This window comes from Homo sapiens, chromosome 17 (genome assembly GCF_000001405.40).
Source record: "Homo sapiens chromosome 17, GRCh38.p14 Primary Assembly".
In the NCBI taxonomy this organism is placed as follows: domain Eukaryota; kingdom Metazoa; phylum Chordata; class Mammalia; order Primates; family Hominidae; genus Homo; species Homo sapiens.
The window spans coordinates 45,504,132-45,525,556 of record NC_000017.11 but is presented as its reverse complement, the minus strand read 5'-3'; the positions used below and the strand labels follow the sequence as shown (position 1 = coordinate 45,525,556).

The following is a 21,425-nucleotide window of genomic DNA, read 5'->3' as shown; positions in this document are numbered from 1 at the left end:
TATCTACCACATAAGGTGTTTGCTGATCACAAATACCTGGCAACCCAGTAGATACTCACTGTAATAATTATTATTTTTATAATTTCTGCCTAAGTACAAAGATGATTCTTGGGTCAACCTAAAGGCAGATTTTCTTTTATTTCTTCCTGTTTCTTTTATTTTTCTTGTTCACCTTAAAGAATTAAAAAGAAAATCGATTCTAGCATTTTGGAATAAAAATTTGCATCAAAATCAATTTATTCATTTTATTGACATACAAACAAAATGTCATTTGTTTATTCAATAAACATTTGTTAAATGCCTAATACATTTCAGACATCATGCCAGGCACGGGGATGACAGGGCATGGTGGCGGGCACCTGTAATCCCAGCTACTCGGGAGGCTAAGGCAGGAGAATTGCTTGAACCCGGGAGGCGGAGATTGCAGTGAGCCAAGATTGCGCCACTGCACTCCAGCCCGGGCGACAGAGTGAGACTCCATCTCAGGAAAATAAAAAAATGTGGTCTCTGCCCTCAAAGCGCTCATAGTCCAGGAGCCTCACAAGTGGACAGGTGATTACATGCAATGTAAGAAAGGCTGTGATGTCATACAAGAAGACAAGTGGGAGTATGGTTTTGACCAGTTCCTCCTCTTAGATTTATTCCTTCTTCTTTGGCTATAAAGCAAAAGAATTGGTCCTATTTTTTTTAACTGTGCAAATTAAGCCATGAATTTTAAAAACTTTATAAAGATAAAAGACAAGCATCCAGCCCAGTGGCTCATGCTGGTAATCCTATCAGTTTGGGAGGCTGAGGCAGGTAGATCACCTGAGGTCAGGAGTTCAAAACCAGCCTGGCCAACATGGTAAAACCCCGTCTCTACTAAAAATACAAAAATTAGCTGGGCATGGTGGTGGGTGCCTGTAATCCCAGCTACTCGGAAGGCTGAGGCAGAACAGGAGAATCACTTGAACCTGGGAGGCTGAGGTTGCAGTCAGCCAAGATCAAGCCATTGCACTCCAGCCTGGGCAACAAGAGTGAGACTCCATCTCAAAAAAAAAAAAAAAAATAGATGAACAACGAATTATGATGAGCAACTTGAATTATGGAGGATGCTAGAAATAGTGTTTCCTCCACAGTCAGGGCTTCCTACCAACATAGTCACTTTTAGGGTTTTTGACCTGAAAAGTTCTGTGGCATATTTTTTCTTTGCTATCCACTTTTTTTTTCCTTGTAGTCTGAAAGGTTTGTCAGTATACTTTAAAACAATCCTGGTAACAGTTCTAGATTGAAGGAGACTAAAGAATCATGTACTAAGTGTAATGTCTGATGTTTGATTGGATTCTGAATTTTTTAAGCCATGTTATGATTGGGACAATTGTGAAAATGTGTATATGGACCACATAGTAGACAATGATAATATGAAGTTCCATTGGGTGATGATAGTCCTCTGGTTATGTCGGAGAATGCCTTGGTTCTTAGGGGCTGCACACTGAAGTCTTCAATGGTGAAGGGTCATTATGTCTGCAACTGACTCTCAAATGGTTTTGTCCAGAAAATGTATAGACATACACACACGGAAAGCAAATGTGGCAAAGTATTAGCAACTACTGATTCCAGATTAAAGTTATACAGGTGTTCATTATACCATTTGAAAATGTTTCCCAACCATCCTAAGGCTTAAAGGAAAAAAAGAAAATGTTTAAAATAAAAAGTTGGGGGCAGAAAAAGAATACCAAAAATTTTGGGCTCATGCCTGTAATCCCAGCACTTTGGGAGGCCAAAGAGAGAGGGTGGCTTGAGCCCAGGAGTTCGAGACCAGCCTGGACAACATGGTGAAACCCCATTTCTACAAAATATACAAAAATTAGCCAGGCGTGGTGGCACACACCTGTAGTTCTAGCTACTCATGAGGCTGAGGTGGGAGGATCACTTGAGCACAGGAGGCAGAGGCTGCAGTGAGCCAAGATTGCACCACTGCACTCAGCCTGTGTAACAGAGCGAGACCCGGCCTCAAAATAAACAAAAGAAACACCTTTGTGGCAGAGGTAAGGTTGCTATATAACAAAATGCTGGGTTACGGTTCCGGGTCCATTCCATATGAAGATCAGAGGCTTCCACTGGACCCAAAGGAATAATACTAGTCACTTGTGATTGTTCCTCTATAGGTTTGAAAGATGTGTCAGGCCAACTCATTGGATGCAGTTTTAATCTAAAACTCTATACATTGTACCCCCAACTCATAGACTTCTTGTATCCATGAAACCCTCTTCTGTTTTCACAGTCTCAATGTGGCCCCAATAAAGCCATCCTTTTGGAGGACTCAGAAAAGGCCCCCCACAACCTCTGCAACATAATAATTATAGTTAACTCTTATTGAGCACTCACTGTGCACCAGGCATTTTTCAGGTATGGATTCATTTGATCCTCAAAATTCATTAGAGGTAGGTACTATTATAATGACAAGGCCAAGGAACAGAGATTTAACAATTTGCCCAAATTCACATTATTAGCAGAGCTGAGATTGAAGCATAGTCTGGCTATGGAATCTGTATTCTTAATGACCATGCTATACTGCCTAAGATTAACCTTTTACTTCAGTTACAGGGATTGTTTTTATCTCTCTGAAAGTGCCCCCAATAAGCCACAACAATAAATTAATCAATTGTCTCAGTTACCTCTTTTGCCCAAATTTACGTATTGAAAAAAATTCAAACAAGCCAGAAAGATGAAAGAATAGTACAGAATCTAATCAAAGATCAGGCACTGCATGTCATGTCTTCATTTCCTTTAATCTAAAACATGCTTCTACTTTCTTTGATCTTTCATGACATTGGCATTTTTTAAGAGTCAAAGATAGTTGTCTTGTAAATTGTCCCACAATCCGGATTTGTCTGTTTCCTCATGACGAAATTCAAGTTAAGCATTTTTGGGAAAAATACTGCATAGGTGATGTATCCTTCCTGCCTCGTAACTGCAGATGGCCTGTAATACTAAGTTTGATCACTTGACCAAGGTGAACTTCCAGATCTCTCCATTGTAATTATTTTGCTGGGTACAGTGGCTCCCACTTGTAATCCCAGCACTTTGGAAGGCTGAGGTGGGAGGATTGCTTGAGCCCAGGAGTTCTACACCAGCCTGAGCAACATGGGGAAACCCTGTCACTACTGAAAATACAAAAGTACAAAAAAAAAAAAAAAATTAGCTGGGCATGGTGGTGCAAGCCTATACTCCCAGCTACTCGGGGGACTGAATTTGGAGGATCCCTTGAGCCCAGGGGGGTTGAGGCTGCAATGAGGTATAATTTTGCCACTGTATTTCAGCCTGGGTGACAAAATAAAAATAAAAAATAATAATTTTCCGCTTGGTAATTAATAAATAATCTGTGGGTTGTTACTTTGAGTTCAGTGAAGATCCTGTTCTCAAATGTCTTTTCACCCAAATGTGCATCAGTGATAATCCTTGTCTGAATGAATTTGTATTACACTGATGGTTGCAAAGTGACACTTTTAAAAATTCTGTCATTCCTTCTACATTTACTAGCTGGCATTATTTCATTGAAGAAGAACTCCCCCTCTTTCTTTTTCTATATCACTCTTCGTGGATTCTTCTTTATATTAAATATGTTGTAACTTATTGTTGTTATTCTTTTGAATGCTCAAATTGTCCAGATTTGACCAATGCAATCTTTGTTATTTTTTAACTCCACAATCGAGGTTAAACTAAGCTATTTTTAATGCCCAGAGTAATTTATAATATTTCCCACTCCCAACAGGAATTGAGAAAGGGACTCCAGAAGTTGGGGGCTTATTCAGACTTCTTAAAAGTCTACCTTCTTCCTCTGTACTTTCAGCCCAAAGTGAGACTTTTGAGTTGGGAAGAGATACTTCTGAATTAAACTACTAATCACTGTCACCCAATTCTAATCCCAACCATCTTTATTCTAGGCATACCATACTCACTGCCATGCTTACCCTTCAGTTGGGCACCTTTGCCCTCCTTCCTATTGGCCTTCTGGTTCCTACCCAACTGTCCAGTCCATAGGCTTCAATGACACCTTTTTCCCACACCTGTGGTAGCGTTGGCTGCCTCCTTTACCTACTCAAGTAACCGCTTTACCGCTAATTTATTGCTCTCTGTTTTCATCTATAGGATCTTACCTAGCCATATGGCCTGCTGCCTCTGCCAACTTAAAAACAGCATTGAGGCTGTCTGCAAGACAGTCAAGCTGCATTGCAACAGTGCATGTCTGACAAACACCATACATTGTCGTGAGTCCAAATTGCGCGGTGATAAATTGTTACATTAAGTATTTGTTTTTAAACTTTTTATTTTTAATGATGATAAAATTTTAAGCTAATGACATAATTGCTTTATTTTTATTTACTCATTCAGAGTTAAACTCCCTCAATTTCTGAACTACTCCCTTGCTGAGAGTCAGGTTCTCAGTTACTATTACAAAATTTAATAATAGAACTGTTCCATATGCACAAAGGACCAAGACAAAGGAATGGGAAGGCTAGAGAATAACATTAACATCCACACACTGTGTACTGTGCTCTCTGCTTGATGCTTTGCCCACAGTGATAATTTCTTCATATAGTGCAATGTAGTTTGTAAGGTGGTTTTAAATTCATGAGGTCTCAAGTACTCTCTGCCTTATAGGACAGATGTAGATACGGTTTCGGTTTTTCTGTTTTTACAGTTTTATGAGAGTACAAGTGATGCTGTTTTATTTGAAGCCTGAGAGCTTCTGGTTCCATAACCAGAAATTGCTACCTGACTCTTCTAATAGAATGGAGGTCTTTTCCATTCTTAGACCATCCAACTCTGAACTTGCTCTGAATCTCAAACCTTTCTGTTCACAGAACAAACGCTCAAGGGCTTTCAAGAGTGTTTCTGTAGATTAGGTTTATTAGCATCAACTTCATGACTTCTAAAATGTGACTGCTTTCATGTCCAGATAGCTTGAATACAGGTATCTACCAGTGATATGGGGTGGAGAATTAATAATGCTTGGTTACATAAAGTCAGTGTTGCTTATTTTTCAAAACTTTTTTTTTTTTTTACCAATTATATTATTCCCTTCTCCCCAAGAAGTGGGCAGAAAAGCTTTGTTAACCTCCTTTTACAGATGAAGAAAAACAAGATCAGAGGTGCTAAGTGCTGTAGCCTAGTGCCAGGTCTTCTGGCCCCAATTCTGGGTTCTCCCCAAGCCCATGCTTCTTCCACTTTCTCACAATCTTTACTTCTTCCTCTGACCCTCACCACCACCCAAAATGCTTTTAATTCTGGAAAAGAAACCCAGCTGCACACTGGCACACTTGACCTTCCTGCAGTCAGAAGCCTTGGCTGATTCCCCATCCAAAATATTAGAGATGAAATGAAAGCAAAGTAGGCATCTGACAAAAGTTGCTTTTTCCCTTCTGCATTTTAGGACCTCAAGTAATGTTTATCCAGAAACTGCTATCATACCAGAGATTCACTGTGTATTTAACAACATAGGCATACAATCTGGCAAATTTGAAAAACTCTTAACATACACCCCAAATCCCTGCCCAAATTTAAGAACTAGGGTGGACACAGTGCTTTTTTCCATGTCGCATCTTCTGTGATGGGGCTACGATATGTGGGAGCAGAGAATGGGGAGGGTGGAGCGCATGCCAGATGAGGATCTATCAGCAATGGGAGGGGGCCTCCACTTTAGCATCTCCACCCTGCTCCTCTCAGAGGACCGCCTTTCATTGCATTCAGCTGTGATGGTAGCAAGAACACAGGCGCACCGAGGACGAGGAGAGCGGGAGCCTTGTGCTCTCTCTGCATCTGAGGCAGGACAGCACAGGGTATGGAGCAGTCTGCAGAGAGGCCAGCTCATCAGCTCATCAGGGAAGCACTTGTCTTCCACCTTGGGCTTTGACTGAGCACTGGGCAATTGGACCCTGGGGATCAATGAAATAATCCTAAGCAGAGTTACTCTATGTCACACTATGGAATGTTCCAAGTAGATGGCCGTGTTTTCAAAAGATATATTTTCTCCTTTTGTTGTTGCCATTTCATAGGTTTAGGATTGGGTGTGTGTGTCTCCTCTCTGAATGGCACTCAAATGTTTGCTGACTCCTACTCTGCGTGACTGGGGTGTACAGCTATGGACTGATGCATCCCATCCCATCATCTTTCACGAGCAAAGCAGTCTCTTTTTTGACAGCTGAAGAAGAATCTGTAGGGAATCCAGAAGGAGCATTCATGAAGATGTTACAAGCCCGGAAGAATTACACAAGCACTGAGCTGACTGTTGAGCCGGAGGAGCCCTCAGACAGCAGTGGCATCAACTTGTCAGGCTTTGGGAGTGAGCAGCTAGACACCAATGACGAGAGTGATGTTATCAGTGCACTAAGTTACATTTGCCATATTTCTCAGCAGTAAACCTAGATGTGGAATCAATGTTACTACCGTTCATTAAACTGCCAACCACAGGAAACAGCCTGGCAAAGATTCAAACTGTAGGCCAAAACCGGCAAAAAGTGAATAGAGTCCTCATGGGCCCAATGAGCATCCAGAAAAGGCACTTCAAAGAGGTGGGAAGGCAGAGCATCAGGAGGGAACAGGGTGCCCAGGCATCTGTGGAGAACGCTGCCGAAGAAAAAAGGCTCGGGAGTCCAGCCCCAAGGGAGCTGGAACAGCCTCACACACAGCAGGGGCCTGAGAAGTTAGCGGGAAACGCCATCTACACCAAGCCTTCGTTCAGCCAAGAGCATAAGGCAGCAGTCTCTGTGCTGACACCCTTCTCCAAGGGCGCGCCTTCTACCTCCAGCCCTGCAAAAGCCCTACCACAGATGAGAGACAGATTGAAAGACAACACACACTATTTCCATTTTAGAAAGTGCAAAGGCTAGAGTTACAAATATGAAGGCTTCTAAACCAATTTCACATTCCAGAAAAAAATACCGCTTTCACAAAACTCGCTCCGCATGACCCACAGAACACCCAAGGTCAAAAAGAGTCCAAAGTTCAGAAAGAAAAGTTATCTGAGTAGACTGATGCTCGCAAACAGGCCTCCGTTCTCTGCAGCGAAGAGCCTCATAAATTCCCCTTCACAAGGGGCTTTTTCATCCTTAGGAGACCTGAGTCCTCAAGAAAACCCTTTTCTGGAAGTATCTGCTCCTTCAGAACATTTTATAGAAACCACTAATATAAAAGACACAACTGCAAGAAATGCCTTGGAAGAAAATGTTTTTATGGAAAACACTAACATGCCAGAAGTCACCATCTCTGAAAACACAAACTACAATCATCCTCCTGAGGCAGATTCCGCTGGGACTGCATTCAACTTAGGGCCAACTGTTAAACAAACTGAGACAAAATGGGAATACAACAACGTGGGCACTGACCTGTCCCCCGAGCCCAAAAGCTTCAATTACCCATTGCTCAGTTTGAAATTCAGCTAACCCAGCAGCTACAGTCCCTTATCCCCAACAACAATGTGAGAAGGCTCATTTCTCATGTTATCCGGACCTTGAAGATGGACTGCTCTGGGGCCCATGTGCAAGTGACCTGTGCCAAGCTCATCTCCAGGACAGGCCACCTGATGAAGCTTCTCAGTGGGCAGCAGGAAGTAAAGGCATCTGAGATAGAATGGGATACGGACCAATGGAAGACTGAGAACTACATTAATGAGAGCACGGAAGCCCAGAGTGAACAGAAAGAGAAGTCGCTTGAGGTGAGGACCACACAGAAACATGAGACCCAGATTTCCCATCATTTAGCATATCCCAGGAAAGTGCCCACACAGAAGAATCTGGGACTCCCAGGCCATAGCTTATCTTGGCCATGTAACTTTGGTCATGACAGTGATCTCCCACTTTGCTCATGTAGAGAGTGAAATATAGATTAGGGCACAAGATGAACTGTAGGCCGGGGGTGGTAGCTCATGCCTGTAATCTCAGCACTTTGGGAGGCCAAGGTGGGTGGATTACTTGAAGTCAGGAGTTTGAGACCAGCTTGGCCAACATAGTGAAAGCCTGTCTCCACAAAAAATAAAAAAATTAGCTGGGTTGATGACACGTGCCTGTAGTCCCAGCTACTTGGGAGGCTGAGGTGGGAGGATCACCTGAGCCCAGGGAGGTCGAGTCTAGTGAACGGTGATTGCACCACTGTACCCCAGCCTGGGTAACAGAGTGAGACCCTCTTTCAAAAAAATAAAAAAGAACCTGTAAGCTACTCACCTGGAATACTGGGGTTTTGAATAGTTAGCTCTCATTCTGGTGTGTTTTTTTTTTGTTTTTTTGTTTTTTTTAGCTCACAAAAGAAGTTCCAGGATACGGCTATACTGACAAACTCATCTTGGCATTAATTGTGACTGAAATACTAATGATTTTGATTATACTTTTCTGCCTCATTGTGGTAAGGACAATAATTAATTCAGGTTTTCAGAATGCAGTCCTGTTTTTGTGTGGATTCAGAGCTCACAAACTGAAAACCAAAGCCACTTTCCCACCTGCTGCTACTTGACATACTTCTTCAGTCATTTAAGGCTGAGGTGTATGCTTTGTTCTTTTATTGCAGTGTATATTTCAGGATTTTTAAAAGATCCTCGCTTCCAGATCTCTGTGAATTGAAACCAAGTTAATCCCACTAGACTATTTTAAGAAGTCGATATAATAGCAAAATTTCTCCACCCAAAACTATGTCAACAATTGGATGTACTCATCAAGTCACCCTTACTCTGCCACTAATTTATTTCCTTGGTGCTGAAATGATGAGAGAGGTATAATCTCCACCCTCACGGATTTGTCATCACCCTGGAGAGGAAGGAGAGAGCCAAAAGACAGAAGTATTGTCTTGTAGACTTATTAGATTTACACAGTATCGTCCTCCAGTGTGTAAGGCATTGTCTAAATAGGTCCAGTTAAAGCACTACAGAGTAGCCATCTTTTACAAAAATTGTTGGCCACATTTTTAAGTTCGCAGGCGAGGGGGAACGTCTCATACTCTAGCCCTCCTGAGCCTAGACCCTCTGTGAGATGTGTCACCATTTCTTGGACACCACGTGAGACATTCCCCCTCAGATTAGAGATGCTCAGCCTGCATCAACTTATCTAAAGCCTACATCTGGCTACTCTGGGGCAAGTCCTGTTTACAGTGCCCATTCCTGGAGCTTGCCTCTGTTTGTCTTTTGTTCGATTACATGATATATTACTTTTCCCAACAGGCCAGTGCTAGCATATTGGAAGAGTGATTTAATAAAGCTGGCAACCTTGACGCTATGCCACCAGTCCAACCTTATTTGCCTCATTTACCATTTCCATTATTGTGGCAGCCCTCCATTCCAGCCACAGCAGCCCCTCACCATACCCCAGTCACACCACCCACATTTCTGCTTTTGTCTGTGTGTTTGTCCATCTAAAATGCCCTTATTTCACTCTGCCTGTGGGAGTCCTATGCATCTCCCACCAGAAACTGCTATCATACCAGAGATTCACTGTGTATTTAACAACATAGGCATACAATCTGGCAAATTTGAAAAACTCTTAACATACACCCCAAATCCCTGCCCAAATTTAAGAACTAGGGTGGACACAGTGCTTTTTTCCATGTCGCATCTTCTGTGATGGGGCTACGATATGTGGGAGCAGAGAATGGGGAGGGTGGAGCGCATGCCAGATGAGGATCTATCAGCAATGGGAGGGGGCCTCCACTTTAGCATCTCCACCCTGCTCCTCTCAGAGGACCGCCTTTCATTGCATTCAGCTGTGATGGTAGCAAGAACACAGGCGCACCGAGGACGAGGAGAGCGGGAGCCTTGTGCTCTCTCTGCATCTGAGGCAGGACAGCACAGGGTATGGAGCAGTCTGCAGAGAGGCCAGCTCATCAGCTCATCAGGGAAGCACTTGTCTTCCACCTTGGGCTTTGACTGAGCACTGGGCAATTGGACCCTGGGGATCAATGAAATAATCCTAAGCAGAGTTACTCTATGTCACACTATGGAATGTTCCAAGTAGATGGCCGTGTTTTCAAAAGATATATTTTCTCCTTTTGTTGTTGCCATTTCATAGGTTTAGGATTGGGTGTGTGTGTCTCCTCTCTGAATGGCACTCAAATGTTTGCTGACTCCTACTCTGCGTGACTGGGGTGTACAGCTATGGACTGATGCATCCCATCCCATCATCTTTCACGAGCAAAGCAGTCTCTTTTTTGACAGCTGAAGAAGAATCTGTAGGGAATCCAGAAGGAGCATTCATGAAGATGTTACAAGCCCGGAAGAATTACACAAGCACTGAGCTGACTGTTGAGCCGGAGGAGCCCTCAGACAGCAGTGGCATCAACTTGTCAGGCTTTGGGAGTGAGCAGCTAGACACCAATGACGAGAGTGATGTTATCAGTGCACTAAGTTACATTTGCCATATTTCTCAGCAGTAAACCTAGATGTGGAATCAATGTTACTACCGTTCATTAAACTGCCAACCACAGGAAACAGCCTGGCAAAGATTCAAACTGTAGGCCAAAACTGGCAAAAAGTGAATAGAGTCCTCATGGGCCCAATGAGCATCCAGAAAAGGCACTTCAAAGAGGTGGGAAGGCAGAGCATCAGGAGGGAACAGGGTGCCCAGGCATCTGTGGAGAACGCTGCCGAAGAAAAAAGGCTCGGGAGTCCAGCCCCAAGGGAGCTGGAACAGCCTCACACACAGCAGGGGCCTGAGAAGTTAGCGGGAAACGCCATCTACACCAAGCCTTCGTTCAGCCAAGAGCATAAGGCAGCAGTCTCTGTGCTGACACCCTTCTCCAAGGGCGCGCCTTCTACCTCCAGCCCTGCAAAAGCCCTACCACAGGTGAGAGACAGATTGAAAGACAACACACACTATTTCCATTTTAGAAAGTGCAAAGGCTAGAGTTACAAATATGAAGGCTTCTAAACCAATTTCACATTCCAGAAAAAAATACCGCTTTCACAAAACTCGCTCCGCATGACCCACAGAACACCCAAGGTCAAAAAGAGTCCAAAGTTCAGAAAGAAAAGTTATCTGAGTAGACTGATGCTCGCAAACAGGCCTCCGTTCTCTGCAGCGAAGAGCCTCATAAATTCCCCTTCACAAGGGGCTTTTTCATCCTTAGGAGACCTGAGTCCTCAAGAAAACCCTTTTCTGGAAGTATCTGCTCCTTCAGAACATTTTATAGAAACCACTAATATAAAAGACACAACTGCAAGAAATGCCTTGGAAGAAAATGTTTTTATGGAAAACACTAACATGCCAGAAGTCACCATCTCTGAAAACACAAACTACAATCATCCTCCTGAGGCAGATTCCGCTGGGACTGCATTCAACTTAGGGCCAACTGTTAAACAAACTGAGACAAAATGGGAATACAACAACGTGGGCACTGACCTGTCCCCCGAGCCCAAAAGCTTCAATTACCCATTGCTCAGTTTGAAATTCAGCTAACCCAGCAGCTACAGTCCCTTATCCCCAACAACAATGTGAGAAGGCTCATTTCTCATGTTATCCGGACCTTGAAGATGGACTGCTCTGGGGCCCATGTGCAAGTGACCTGTGCCAAGCTCATCTCCAGGACAGGCCACCTGATGAAGCTTCTCAGTGGGCAGCAGGAAGTAAAGGCATCTGAGATAGAATGGGATACGGACCAATGGAAGACTGAGAACTACATTAATGAGAGCACGGAAGCCCAGAGTGAACAGAAAGAGAAGTCGCTTGAGGTGAGGACCACACAGAAACATGAGACCCAGATTTCCCATCATTTAGCATATCCCAGGAAAGTGCCCACACAGAAGAATCTGGGACTCCCAGGCCATAGCTTATCTTGGCCATGTAACTTTGGTCATGACAGTGATCTCCCACTTTGCTCATGTAGAGAGTGAAATATAGATTAGGGCACAAGATGAACTGTAGGCCGGGGGTGGTAGCTCATGCCTGTAATCTCAGCACTTTGGGAGGCCAAGGTGGGTGGATTACTTGAAGTCAGGAGTTTGAGACCAGCTTGGCCAACATAGTGAAAGCCTGTCTCCACAAAAAATAAAAAAATTAGCTGGGTTGATGACACGTGCCTGTAGTCCCAGCTACTTGGGAGGCTGAGGTGGGAGGATCACCTGAGCCCAGGGAGGTCGAGTCTAGTGAACGGTGATTGCACCACTGTACCCCAGCCTGGGTAACAGAGTGAGACCCTCTTTCAAAAAAATAAAATAGAACCTGTAAGCTACTCACCTGGAATACTGGGGTTTTGAATAGTTAGCTCTCATTCTGGTGTGTTTTTTTTTTGTTTTTTTGTTTTTTTTAGCTCACAAAAGAAGTTCCAGGATACGGCTATACTGACAAACTCATCTTGGCATTAATTGTGACTGAAATACTAATGATTTTGATTATACTTTTCTGCCTCATTGTGGTAAGGACAATAATTAATTCAGGTTTTCAGAATGCAGTCCTGTTTTTGTGTGGATTCAGAGCTCACAAACTGAAAACCAAAGCCACTTTCCCACCTGCTGCTACTTGACATACTTCTTCAGTCATTTAAGGCTGAGGTGTATGCTTTGTTCTTTTATTGCAGTGTATATTTCAGGATTTTTAAAAGATCCTCGCTTCCAGATCTCTGTGAATTGAAACCAAGTTAATCCCACTAGACTATTTTAAGAAGTCGATATAATAGCAAAATTTCTCCACCCAAAACTATGTCAACAATTGGATGTACTCATCAAGTCACCCTTACTCTGCCACTAATTTATTTCCTTGGTGCTGAAATGATGAGAGAGGTATAATCTCCACCCTCACGGATTTGTCATCACCCTGGAGAGGAAGGAGAGAGCCAAAAGACAGAAGTATTGTCTTGTAGACTTATTAGATTTACACAGTATCGTCCTCCAGTGTGTAAGGCATTGTCTAAATAGGTCCAGTTAAAGCACTACAGAGTAGCCATCTTTTACAAAAATTGTTGGCCACATTTTTAAGTTCGCAGGCGAGGGGGAACGTCTCATACTCTAGCCCTCTTGAGCCTAGACCCTCTGTGAGATGTGTCACCATTTCTTGGACACCACGTGAGACATTCCCCCTCAGATTAGAGATGCTCAGCCTGCATCAACTTATCTAAAGCCTACATCTGGCTACTCTGGGGCAAGTCCTGTTTACAGTGCCCATTCCTGGAGCTTGCCTCTGTTTGTCTTTTGTTCGATTACATGATATATTACTTTTCCCAACAGGCCAGTGCTAGCATATTGGAAGAGTGATTTAATAAAGCTGGCAACCTTGACGCTATGCCACCAGTCCAACCTTATTTGCCTCATTTACCATTTCCATTATTGTGGCAGCCCTCCATTCCAGCCACAGCAGCCCCTCACCATACCCCAGTCACACCACCCACATTTCTGCTTTTGTCTGTGTGTTTGTCCATCTAAAATGCCCTTATTTCACTCTGCCTGTGGGAGTCCTATGCATCTCTCAAAAGCCAACTCAAGTTCATCTTTCTTCTTGACACCTTCCCTGAATATTCCAGCCCTGCTGAGCCTAGTCCCTTTGTGAGATTTGTCACCATTTCTTGGACACCATATGAGAGACTTCAGAGGCTGAAGTGGGAGGATCGCTTGAGCCTGGGAGGTCGAGAATGCAGTAAGCTGTGGTCGTACCACTGCACTCTAGCCTGGGCAACACAGCGAGGCCCTGTCTTAAAAACAACCACCACCAAAAACTATCTTGGGATTTGAATAGGATTATGTTAAATTTGTAGATTAATTTGAGAATTTACATCTGTAGAACATTCTAGGAACGTGCTATCTCATGTCATGTATTCATTTCTTGTTAATGTCTTTCAGAAGAGCTTTAGTGTTTCCATATATAGATCTTACACATCTTTTATTAGATAAAAGATCTTTGTATTTTTGTTCCTAAATTCTTCATACATTTGTATTGCCATTGTAAATGGGATCTTTCTTCCATTTTCTAATTAGTTATTGGTGGTACATGGGAAAAGTATTTGAGGTTTGTGTGCTGATTTCTTGATTTTGTAGATAGCCACTGTATTGAATTCTCATTACTTCCAGTAAAATCTTAGTTGATTCTCTTAGGCTTCTTTGGCTAACATTTTTCATTTAATATGCAAATAATGATAGTTTTGTCTCTTCCTTTCCAATACTTCTACTCTTTCCTTCCTTTCCCTTTTCCTTTTTCCTTTCCTTTCCTTTCCTTTTTTTTCCCTTCTCAGGGCCTTGTTGTCACCCAGGCTGGAGAGCAATGGTGTGACCTAGCTCACTGTAACATCAAACTCCTGGGCTTAAGGGATCCTCCTGCCTCAGCTTCCTGAGTGGCTGGGACTACAGGCAGGCAGCTAATTTAAAAAATGTGTTTGTAGAGACAAGGTCTTGCTATGTTGCCCAGGCTAGTTTTCCTGCCACTTCAGAGGAAGGACTCAGGTTTCCTTTTTCTCCTACTTTTAAGAGTTTTTATTAGGAATTATCTGTTGAATGTTATCTAAAACAGTCAATAAAATGTATTAAGTGCCAGCTGCATGCAAGACCCTAAGTTAGATACAGTCAGCCCTCTTCATCAGCAGGTCCACATCTTCAGATTCAACTAGATCAGGCTGAATATTTGAAGAAAAAAAAACAATAAAAATACAAACAGAAAGTACAATATAACAACTGTCACCACTGTACAATATGTATACATTTTATTAGTGATGACTTAAATTACATGGGGCCAGGCATGGTGGCTCACACTTGTAATCCCAACACATTGGGAGGCCAACCTGGGCAGCATAGTGAGACCTTGTCTTTATTAAAAATTAAAAAAAAAAATAGCCAGGTGTGGTAGTATGCACCTGTAGTCTCAGCTACTCAAGAGGCTGAGGTGGGCGGATCACTGGAGCCCAGGAGGTTGAGGCTACAGTGAGCTGTGATCATGACACCGCACTCCATCCTGAGTAACAGAGGATGACACTGCACTCCAGCGTAAGCAACAGAGGGCAATCCTGTCGCTAAGTAAATAAAGTATAGGGGGGATGCGTGTTGGTTATAAGCAAATACTACACCATTATGTGTAAGGGATTGAGCATCCACAGATTCTGGTATGGTGTGGGGGCGGTATCCTAGAACCAATCCCCCGCAAGATAGCAAGGATGACTGAACTATGGAAGAATCAAAGCAGTGTTACACAGTATGCAATTCCTGTCTTCAAAAAAGTTACCTCATCAGGTAGATGAGACTTATAATGAATAAAATGAATCAATACAGATTTGGAGATGGTGGTTGTTGTCATAGATAATCTTAATTGCGTTTTCTTCTAAAACAGATGTGTTGTCACCGAAGGTCATTACAAGAAGATGAAGAAGGATTCTCAAGGTAAATATTAGTCTGGTGATTTTTTTTTTTCTTTTCTTTTCAGACGGAGTTTCCCTCTTGTTGCCAGGCTGGAGTGCAATGACGCGATCTCGGCTCACGGCAACCTCCACTTACCAGGTTCAAGCGATTCTCCTGCCTCAGCCTCCCGAGTAGCTGGGATTACAGGCATGCACCACCACTAGTCTCGCGACGTTTTAATTAGAATTTTAGAATTAGAGGAGGGCTTAGAACTCTGCCCTCATTTTTCAGTGAGGAAACTGCCCAAGACAGGACAAATACTTACTTACCCTAATGCTTAGCCTGGCTCCAGTGAAATTAGCTCCCCAGCCAAAGCTGAGCTGGATGGAACTAACAAGGACACACCTGCTGTCCCCAGCCCTTTCGGGAGGTGGGGAGGGATAGGAAGGAGAAAGGTTTTGGTGCCTATTGCTGCTGATGGTGGGCATCAGGCCAGGCCAGGGGCCTTCTTGGAGGCTCTGGGAAAGGGGAAGGGAAGGCCACCGGGTGTGAGAGAGAGGGCACTTGTCTCCTTCAAGGCTGATGGAAGGTAGGATATGTGAGTCCTTCCTCTTAAGTGGCAGGAAACAGTATTTTCTCTTTTATTTATTTATTTTTTCCCCTGGATCCTAGAACTGAGGAAACACTATTTTCTCATCTTACTGGTTTTTGTGTCCCTACTCTATTCCTTTTAGGCAAACCTCACAGAATTTTAACCAGAAAGGCCAGGCAGGATGGCTCACGCCTGTAATCACAGCACTTTGGGATCACTTGAGGTTAGGAGCTCGTGACCAGCCTGACCAACATGGTGAAACCCCATCTCTACTAAAAATACTAAATTAGCTGGGTGTGGTGGCGCAGGCCTGTAATCCCAGCTACTTGGGAGGCTGAGGCAGGAGAACTGCTTGAACCCAGGAGGCACAGGTTGCAGGGAGCCAAGATAGCACCATTGCACTCCAGCCTGGGGAATGAGCCAAACTGTCTCAAATAAAAAAAACAACAAAAAAGAATTTTAACTACGGAGACCTTAGATAGTAGTTTGTCCTTTTATGACAGGAAAACTGAGAAGGAGAAAGGGAGAGTGTCTTACCCCATGGTCACACAATGCACTCTGCCTTTTCCTATTTTATTCAAATTCAAAAATAACATGTTGTGCTTTAAGCTGATTTCGTAGCTCACTCACTCATCAGCGACAGCCAGCCGTATGAAGACTGAGATAGAGAACTTGGCTAGCTGCACTCAGACATTTGCTTGAGGTGATCCAACTTATAGAATAAAGTATCTAGAAAAGGAAGAACCACTTCATCTCCCACCCCCCCATCAAATGATGCCTGTGAGACTAAGTCCAAAGGGGACTGATATAAAATGCTTCCGCCCAGCATGGTTGTGCAGTTTGTTCACTGCACAAGGGCACTTGGCCAAGGGAGTGAGTGGGACTGAACATCCTGCCCCTGCTCCATGCTGAGCCACATACAAAGTCCCCCCATTATATTGTGGGGCCCTTCTGGACAGACATGGGAGAGCTTCTGAAAGTCCCACATGCATGGAATTATTTTCAAGACCCCAGGTATGTGGTCTGTGGTGGTTCTTCTCCCTGTGATTATGGACTGAGATACTCATTTAGTCCTAGTAAGACCAGAGAAGTACATTGTGAGATACGTGGGAAATGGCTGCATCACTCACTGTCTTGTGCATGTGTCTCCCCAGGGGCATTTTCAGGTTTCTGCCACGGAGGAGATGCTCTTCACGAAGGGAGAGTCAGGTACATTGGAGGATTCATTGCTGTGGCCAGGGAAGGCAGAGGACATGCAAAATTAGTATTTCCCTTTCTATCTTCTAGGATGGACTTTTTTCATTCAGACGGCCGCTCTGGCTTAAAGATATGTACAAACCTCTCAGTGCCACAAGAGTAAATAATCACGCATGGAAGCTGCACAAGAAGTCATCTAATGAGGACGAGATCCTCAACAGGGACCCTGGGTAAATGACGGAGCCCTCACAGGTCCCATCTAAAATGAGGAGGGGGTGAGAAGCTTAATTGCTCCTTTCAAGAATCAAAACCTTGGCATTGTTATTCTTATCCCAGGGACAGCGAAGCCCCAACAGAGAAGGGGGAGGAGAGTGAAGCCCTGCCATAGGAGGAGAACCCAGCCCACCTCAGGCCTCCTGCAAAAACACATAGCATAAACAATACCATCAGAAAGAAAAGCAGGACTGAAGCCAGCGGCCCACACATCCACAGAGGCAGCGGGCAGAGCAAGCACAGGGCCATCGTTCCTGCCCTTGTTTCCCAGTCTAATTAGTCACCCAGACCTGAAAACATATCCTCAGGGGGTGGAGATTTTACAATTACCATTGTTTTTGGTGCCCTCTCCCTTGCTTCATCAAGCATCAGTCATATAATACCACAGATTTGAACTCCTGCCCACAGGGGACCTCCCATCTCCTGGCCCCTATCATAGGATCACTGGGCCTACCTGCACTGTGGGGCCAAGCCCTGTCTTTTTCCCAAGCCCTCAAGCACACGCATGAGTGTTCATCCCGACTTGGTAGGGGGCTTTTCACCCTTACAAGATGGCAAAAGATTCACATTGCTTTTTTAAAAATTTGTTTTTCTTTTTAAAAATCCCAACCCTTGGATAGCAGGGAGGTGCTGGAGGGGTAGAGTCAAGAAGAGTGTGAGAACAGTAATTTCCCAAGACTGCCCTCTGTGGGACTGTATTTCAGAAAACACACTGGTGGGGCTACCTCTCAATTCACATGTACTGCCCTAGCCTCTCCCCATCCCCGGCTGACGCTCATCCATAACTGCACTGTTCCATAACAGCAGTAGAATGTTGCAGAAAGTGCTAGGATTCCTCCACTCCATCTTCAAAGAAAAAGTCGCTAATAAATCACATTTGGTAGGTTAGTGAATGTTAAACACATTAGTGAGCAAAAGAAAATAGGAATGAACAAGAATTGGTCATCTACCTAACTGAACACAAATGAACTCTGGCAGTTCAGTAATAGGAGGTAAAGAACCACGCTAATTGCAGAACAGCAGCCCCCCTACCTTCCCAGGAGCAGTGTGACTGGGAAGCAGCCCCGTGTGTATGCTGGTGCAGGTTCTAAGCAAAGTGAGCTGCCCATCAGTTCCGATGAGTTTGCTGATGCTAGACATATGACATCTGTTCTCTTGCTGCCTGCCCCAGTTATCTCCCAAAGTTCTTTACTGAGAATGAAAAGCATCTTTCTCTGTGTGGTGACTTCAGTAGGCCAACAAATATTTGAGTTTAAAGCACAAGACTAGTCATAGGCAGAGCAGCGCTACCATTTACAATTTGCTTACTTGATGCTAAACCGTGGGTTTGGCATTTTACAGTCATATCATCTAGCCCAGCAAGTCATGGAAGCATAGTTGTTAAAATCATCTGACACTTTGGGAGGCTGAGGCGGGCGGATCACGAGGTCAGGAGATTGAGACCATCCTGGCTAACATGGTGAAACCCTGTCTCCACTAAAAATACAAAAAAATTAGCCGGGCGTGGTGGCAGGAGCCTGTAGTCCCAGCTACTCAGGAAGCTGAGGCAGGAGAATGGTGTGAACCTGGAAGGTGGAGCTTACAGTGAGCTGAGATCACGCCACTGCACTCCAGCCTGGGCAAGTGAGACTCCATCTCAAAAAAAAAAAAAAAAAAAAATCATCATCTGACAGATAAGGATACAGGGCTCGAAGAACGAAGGTGACCTGCCCAAAGTGTCCAAAGCCACACATACAAAGCAACAAATTAGGGTTTTAAGCTAGCACTGTTAGACTTCAAAGCCTCTTAACCATTCTACTGCCCTGCTGTAGGGCATGGGGAGATGGGGGGATAAGCCATGGTTGCCATCAAAGAGTTAATATAACAATAACATGCAGATGGATGGCAGCTCCTGTTTATTGGCACCAGCTGTGGTCCAGGTACAGCGCTAAGCACTATAATTACACTGTTAAGTCATCAGAACAGAAGCTCCCCACACCAGCTCTAATAGGGGTGAGTGTTGGACATAAGCAGGGAGCTGAGAAGAAGCCAAGACAAGGCCGGTTGCAGTGACTCATGCTTGTAATCCCAGCACTTTGGGAGGCTGAGGTAGGTGGACCACCTGAGGCAGGAGTTCAAGACCACCCCGGCCAATATGGCAAAACCCTGTCTCTACTAAAAATTACAAAAATTAGCTGGGGGTGGTGATGCACGCCTGTAATCCCAGTTACTCAGGAAGCTGAGGGAGGGAGAATTGCTTGAACCTGGGAGGCGGAGCTTGCAGTGAGCTTATAATGGGCCACTGCACACTAGCCTGGGCAACAGAGCGAGATTCCATCTCAAAAAAAAAAAAAAGCCAACACTAGAGATCCTTCCACTGCTGGGCTCTCAAAGTCTGGATTCCAAGCACCTCCAGGTTTCTATTTTGGCATATTTACATAATTTCGCATTTCGATGCTTATAATTTTTTTATATAACAAGAAAATTTTATGCATCTCAAATGTGTACATTTTTTTTTTCAGACAGGGTCTTGATCTGTCACCCAGGCTGGAGTGCAGTGGTGCCTTCATAGCTCACTGCTGCCTCAAGCTCTTGGGCTCCAAAGATCCTCCTACCTCAGCCTCCAGAGCTGGGGGTCTACAGGCGCGTACCACCATGCCCAGCTACTATTCTTATTATTCCCAAATGCCACCCCACCATATTTCTAAAAACTCCCAAAGAAAGATTCTACTTTGCCCAGTTTGTCCTCAATTGAGCAGTTTTGTCTAAGCCCAGAGTTTCTGCTGGGCCAGAGTATGGATGAGCTGTCTCTCCCTGGCTGGTGCCCATGCCTGCCTGTAGCCTGGGAGGGGGAGTGGCGCCCAGGGTCAGGTGGAACAAAACATGACTGCCTAGGGCTGCCTCTGTCTCCATCTCACTGATCGCAAATCACAGCTCAGACAGCCAGCTCTTAAGTGAGACCTGAGTGCCAGAGAGGGGTGGATACAAGGCCAACAGTTACTAAATGAATGAAAATTGTGATTCCGATGAAGCCTGCCAGAGAAATAAAGCATTTTTTAAAAGATGGAAATAAGGCGATATCTGATTAGGGCAAACATGATGCAGACAAGAAATGCACCGGTTCAGAGGAGGGAAGGTCAGGCCGCCTGGGGGGAGTCCACGAAAAAGATGGAACGTGCCAGATGCTGTGCCTGGTGCTGGGAAAGAGTTGACTAGGCCAGCATCCCTTTCCTCAAAGGGGGGGCTCCTAGACTGGGGGGAGGGCTGGACATCTGAATACATCCTGAGGAGACAGTGTGGGACAGCATGGTGGCAGTGGAGCCAGCCGTGGTTCTGCTCTTGGTCGACTGGAAAGGAGTAGATGTAAGGGATGGTTTAGAAGAAGGGAAGTGGAAGAAAAGTTTTCTGAGCTGACAAGAGGAAGGAAAGGCCTTCTAGAAGGACACTAAAAAGGCAGAGAAGCCCTAAGCAGAGTGAGCACCAGACTCCACAGGTTAAGGGCTCAGTCACACAGGACCATCCCCATGTCAGACCCCAGGTGCAAGGCCAAGCATCTCCTATGCATCTGACCAACTGGCTGTAAATTGGAGGTCCCCACAACTCCCTCCTCAGGTTTGAACATTTGCTAGAACAGCTCATGGAACCCAGGAAAACAGTTTTCTTACTAGTGCTGATTTATTACAAAGGATATTTTAAAGGACACAAATGATGAAGCCAGATGAAGAGATACACAGGGTGAGGTCTGGAAGGGTCCTTGTGGAGTTGGGGTGCACCACTCTCCTGGAACATGGATGTGTTCGCCAACCCGGAAGCTCTCCAAGTCCTGTCTTTTAAGGAGTTTTCTGGAGGCTTTATCACATAGGCATGATTGAGCTCCAGCTCCATTCCCCACGCCAGAGGATGGGGAATGGGGCTGACAGCACAACGCTTCCAACCATAGGTCTTTTTGGTGACCAGTCCCCAAATAAGGAGCCCACCAAGAGTCACCTCATGAGAACAAAGGACGCTTCTATCACCCAGAAAATTCCAAGGGATTTAGGAGCTCTGTATCAGGAACCAGGTTTAAGGACCAAATGTTAGAACAAAAGATGTGCAACCATAAAAAACAGCGAG

General features: G+C 44.4%; 1 long non-coding RNA gene and 1 pseudogene across 6 annotated transcripts in view; one reads left to right on the top strand and one right to left on the bottom strand.

The window, feature by feature from the left end:
• The window catches only part of LOC105369225 (uncharacterized), a 72,359-nt gene that overhangs the window by 37,674 nt on the left and 13,260 nt on the right, over window positions 1–21,425 (bottom strand). For 2 of the 5 annotated variants that reach the window (XR_002958152.2, XR_007065814.1), the window contains exon 2: window positions 16,994–17,092. The exons of 2 other annotated variants lie outside the window; for them this stretch is intronic. This is a non-coding gene — a long non-coding RNA (uncharacterized LOC105369225). Of the gene's footprint in view, window positions 1–16,993; window positions 17,132–21,425 lie in introns of those variants that run through there. One more of the 5 variants, XR_001752911.2, reaches the window with a different exon arrangement.
• LRRC37A4P (leucine rich repeat containing 37 member A4, pseudogene) lies at window positions 5,034–19,674 on the top strand (annotated as a pseudogene). The gene is made up of 6 exons (NR_002940.2): window positions 5,034–7,696; window positions 8,275–8,379; window positions 10,032–11,689; window positions 12,268–12,372; window positions 15,264–15,313; window positions 17,018–19,674. The product of NR_002940.2 is annotated as a leucine rich repeat containing 37 member A4, pseudogene (transcript).